The sequence below is a fragment of the Homo sapiens genome, chromosome 12, assembly GCF_000001405.40.
Source record: "Homo sapiens chromosome 12, GRCh38.p14 Primary Assembly".
Taxonomy (NCBI): Eukaryota; Metazoa; Chordata; class Mammalia; order Primates; family Hominidae; genus Homo; species Homo sapiens.
In genome coordinates this window covers 107,266,914-107,272,283 of record NC_000012.12, presented here as the reverse complement: position 1 = coordinate 107,272,283, position 5,370 = coordinate 107,266,914, and the positions used below count along the sequence as shown (strand labels likewise).

Below are 5,370 nucleotides of genomic sequence, written 5' to 3'. Positions count from 1 at the left end.
TAGACAGATATATGTTGGTAAATGCTAACTGTCCATATTCACATAGAGACACAGTGTACTCTCTGAGCCCAACATACAGAGAAGGGAAGAAAAAAGCTAGAATTATACGCACTACTACACAGCGGCCTAGCACCCTCCAGCTTCCAGCAGAGCGAAGGGAGCAGGTTTTTCTTTTTTCCCACAGAGCTCAGTAGTGTTGATTCCATACAGTTTTTATTCAGATAGTAAGCAATAAAAATGAATTTCGAACAGAAAGAGGTAGAGACTCTTCCCATTGTATTCTGCTCAAGGTATTTCCCCTAAAATAAGTTGAGAAAAGAGATCTCAAGAACAGGGCGACTGAGCACAGGAGGAAAAAAAAAAAAAACCACTGCAACTTGCTCCCAGGGACTGGAGAAAATTTTTAAAAGAGAAGGTTGGAATCCATCAGTGTTCTATTAGTCATCTTCTCCTTCATCCTCCTCTCCTTCCTTCCCTTCATCATCATTTTCATCTTCTTCACCTTCATCCTCACCCCCTTCTTCATCAATATCTTCTAATCCTTCCTCATCTTCATCATCATCATCATCATCTTCTGCTCCTTCTCCTTCTTCGTCATCCATATCGGGAACCAAGTAGTACTGTAATGGTTTTGGCCAGATATCATCTGTGATGACCTCTCCTAACTCATCAGCCCCTACATCAGAATGGTCAGTAAACCAGGTAAAGAAGCTCTCTGGTTCTTCATGCTGTCTCTTTCTGCTGGCTTTCTTCTGCATTTGACTTGAACGTTTCATCAAATCCTTTCCAGATTTCCATTTGATTTCGGTGGAATTTGAAGATAGATCACCACTCTCATTCAGATGGAATTCTTTGGAGAGAACTTTACTTTCAAAGTAAGGATTTTCATCCACTCTGAACGCACCTGATGTTGTCTGATCTGAGAAGCTAAGCAGGGTCAGGCCTGGTTAGTACTTGGGTGAAAATAGGATATTCTTAATAAGAGGTATAGCCCAAGCAAAGGTAAAAATATAGAACAATTGTGCTTGTGTATGGGCTCCTTATGGAAACCTGCTCTTCTAGAATTAGGAGAGTGGGGAGGGATGGAAGCTAATATTTGTTGTGCTCCTACTTAAGCTAGGTGCTTGCAGCTCATATGTTTTGGGGTGTCTGCTCTCCTGAAGGCCCTCTCTCTAGGAATCATCCCCATACAGGGCTGAAACGGTGGGCCTGGAGCCATGTTTATGTCATTTGTCCAGTCTCACATCCTGGTCACAAATCACTGGACCATGGATGAACACTGGATCTAAGCTCAGTTGATCCAGTTCTTCTCCCAGGAACATGGCACTAGGACACAGAAAAACTAACCCGGAGTACTTCCTATGGAAAGGCTGGAGTGTAGAAAGGTCCAGAGTCGGAAATAGTGAGAGGTAGAAGGGAACTGAAGAAAGCTGAGATCAGTCTGCACTGTGTAGAGAAGGAAAAATGTGCACAGAGAAACAGACAGGATGCTGTAAGATAGATTCAGTAGCTCCTGGGAGATGGCACATGTGCCTGGATTCCAACAATTCAGTTCCTGGTTTCTCTCCTGAGGATGCTATATTTCATTTCTTATTCCTTGATTTCAGTTGAATTAGTTTAAGTGCTTTCCTGTTCCTTACGATAAAAATAGCCTTGGCCAAGACAGTTTGTTCACATTTTTTCAGATTATCCTCTTAACAATTCATTGAAATAGATATCACTTCCACTTTATTAATATGGATATCAAGGCTTAGAGCAGCAGTGTGACTTGCCTATATGCATTCAGTTGATAATGGTTGAGCTGAGAGTCAAACCCAGGCCTGTCTGGCTCTAAACACTTTACACTTCTCCCTAAGGGACCTTGGCCAGTGTTCGAATCAACAGTTGATCCCAAAACACTTTCTCTGTAACTGCACAAGACACCCTCACTTCTGATGCTGTGTCTATTCAAGGCCCATTTGATAACTTTTAGTCATTCTGAGATTCTCCTGTGGACGTTCAAGCCCAGAAAGCTTATTTAATACATGAATTCAGAATTTGTAAGAAGTCGGATGCTGTATTTATGACTCTTACTGAGTCAAATTCAATGCAATCCTATCCTTAAAAAATATCCAGATTCTAGTGAATAAAGAGAAACTGGTCAAAATTAGTAGAATTTTTCCAAATCAAGAAAATTAAGAATGTCTTTAATTTGGGGGCCAGCTAAGTAATTTATTCATCCTAAACAATACTCACTGAATGGTTGATATGCCTCTTATATTTTAATAACCCATTACAAATACACCTTCTTTGTGCAGTCTATATTCTAGTCATAGTCAACTCTTACAATCCTTTCAAATACCATGCTACTCGAACCTCTATGCCATAATATGTGTGAAAATTCATTTCCCTTCCCCTATCCATCTGGAACACTTTCACTCTTTAGGATTCTGCTGAAGGTGTCACCTCCTCCACAAAACTGTTCAGTAACTCTTAGCCTCATGCAGGTGAGTAGATCTTTCCACTACGTCCTCAGGAAACCCCAACCTTAACTCTCATCACTGCATTGTAATTGTCTCTTTGCAGTTGAGGTGACATGTTCTTCTCACTCCCATGCCAGGCTACTCTTCTTTCCTTTCTAATTGCCACTTCCTCCTCAACTCTCACCTAACAGACGAATTGCTAATCTAATGAACTTGAGATATTGATTAGGCTACATTTCATTAGTGAGTAAGGTTGCCATGGTCAAGACCACTTTATCCTTCCTGTAGAAACTCAGGACTTTCCTACCCTTCCCCTGCCATCAAAGAAGGTCTGGGATGTGACTCAGGCAACCTCCTTTTCCTTCCATTTTTCTTCTGTACAGTTGGTAAAATAAGAGATCATGTAGCCATGTGTGTGATGGAGGTGAGGCAGCTCTGCCCCACAGGCCCAGCCATTTTCTGCACACCTTTGTGCCAGCATCTTCACCTGTGCATGCCTAGGTAAGCCAGGTGGGTTATGTACTACCAGCTATGCTATCTTTTTGGAGGGAAAGAAATGGGAAATCCTACTTCAGTTTCCCAGCTGAAGTCAAGTGGTCCAGCTCTGGGTACCAGGGAAGCCCTAATTTGCATGAGTGGTGATGAGGTCATTAGTACCTGCCCATCGGTTAACAAAGTGGAACTTGCTTTTCGTTTAGATCTGTTTCCTTGTACACTCTAGACTGTTGTAGTCAGCATTCTGGGCTAGGAGACTCGGAGCAGAGCTTGGCACTCAAACTACATCCCACAAACCCCACTACACACTTTTTAGTGAAATATTCTAACCCAGTGGGCTTTGACCCTGGCTACACATTAGAATCACCTTCTATACCAGAAATCCAGATGACTCTAACACATGGCTAAATTTGAGAGCCCTTGCAAAAGAAAGCTTCACGGTCTCCCCCATCCTACCATAACCGAGGACATGAGTTCTGCTATGAGGTGGTGGAAGGAAGCTTCAGGCATCAGTAGATTTGAATAGAGCTCAGAGTGAACTTGAGTTCACCTCTCTGTGCCATAGACCCATCATCTATAAAATAAGAGGATTCACTGAGAACTCTTGACATTTGGGGAGCCATAGACACCTTTGAAACTTTCATGAAAGCTATGTGCATCTCCTCAGAAAAATGAATATTTGCCCACATTCACACATTCACATTCAGCTTCTGGGGTGCTTCGATGCCCTGACACCCTGGCCTGCAGGATCATTGAGATCCTGTCCAGCTTTCAGCTCCAAAGGCCAATCTCTGTAATGTGCTAGAGAGGACCACTGGGCTGGCCAGACTTCATTCCTTTTTCAATCTTGTTCAAAATACATGTGCTTTGAACACCAGCACCAGCAAAATGCCCATGCTGTGAGAAGCAGGGGGCATCTGATAACTAAGGGAATAGTTATCAGTGAGTGATTTATTAGTCAAATATTTATTGAGATTTTCAAGGCACCAGGCTCTAGGGATATCGTTGTGAGAAAACACACACACACACAAACCCCACATTCATGATAAGGGTATATTCTGATGGGGGTTTTTAGCTTTCATCTCACACTTAGTACAGGACATATGTTCACTGAGTAGAATTCACCCATTCTACTTAAAAATCTCTCTTTGTCTCTCTCTGTCTCTTTCTTTTTCTAATGGCTGAAAGTGCATCATTGACTTTCTAAAAGACAATGCAGAATTTCCTTTGAAACTGGGCAAAAGACCCTGTCCCTTGGTCTGCTCTGACCCTCCCTTTCCTGTGTCCTTCCACCCAGAGCAAGGACTCCTTGAGGCTAAGGACATGTCCACTTGGGGCCTGCTCTCCACCCTTTCACACCATGCTCTTGTCATCTGTGACCCCATACTCCCTGCCCAAATGTCCCTGAATCTGTTCCTACAGCTTGTGCAGGCTTCTTCTTCAGATGTCTCTTCCCCAGGCTGGGCCACACTGCTGGTTTATGTGTCCCTGGACCCAAGGGGTGGCCACAGGGCAGCAGTTTGCTGGGGATGTGAAGGAGCTTGCATGTGCAGGATGGCATATCCACACAAATGCAGGTGAGGCTCATTGCAGAGAGCCAGAACTGGGAAGACAGGGCCACAGGCTGGGGCTGGGGAACTGCCTCTCTCCAGGCCATCGTTTTACAGCTCTGAAACTGAGAATTCTAAATTCAAACCTGGCCTTCCAGGGTACTATAAAAGTATATTTGTCTAAGTAGGTGGATAAAGACATATTTTAGTGAACAGTCTCTTAGCCTGAATGACAACTTTAGAGTATTTTTGTAGATGGTATTTGGGCCTCCATTTGTACACTTCTTCCAGGCTCCACAAATATTAGCGGGAGAGTCTAAGGAAATAGGAATGTGGTATGGACCCACCCAAGCTGCTTTGGCTCCTGACAGCTTTCCTTCATAGTCCCTTATACCAACCAAAGTAATAATAGCTAATATTTTTTTTAAAAACTCTTATTGAAGTATAATATACATATATTAAAATGCACAATCATAGAATAAATACATCCATGTAACAGCCAACTGGATCAAAACAGAACATTACCAGCATCTCTTACACACCCTTACAATAACCACTCCCTCCATCCTTCTCAAAGGTGACCAGTATTCTGTATTACTTTGCCTATTTTTGAACTTTACATAAATGGAGTCACATCATATATATTCTTTTGCATCTGGCTTCTTTCCCTCAATATTATGTTTATGATTATCCACTTTATTGCATGTAGAAATAGTTCATTCACTTTCATTGCTATATAGTGTTCTATTGAATCAATTTACCACTTTTCATTTACTTATTTGGTTGCTGATATACATTTGGATTGTTTTCATTTGCTAATAAGAATGATGCTGCTATATTTATTCTTGTACATGTCTTTTGGT

The 5,370-nt window shown here is 42.1% G+C and overlaps 1 pseudogene; it reads right to left on the bottom strand.

The window, feature by feature from the left end:
* Positions 1–240: 240 nt before the first annotated feature.
* SETP7 (SET pseudogene 7) lies at positions 241–890 on the bottom strand (annotated as a pseudogene).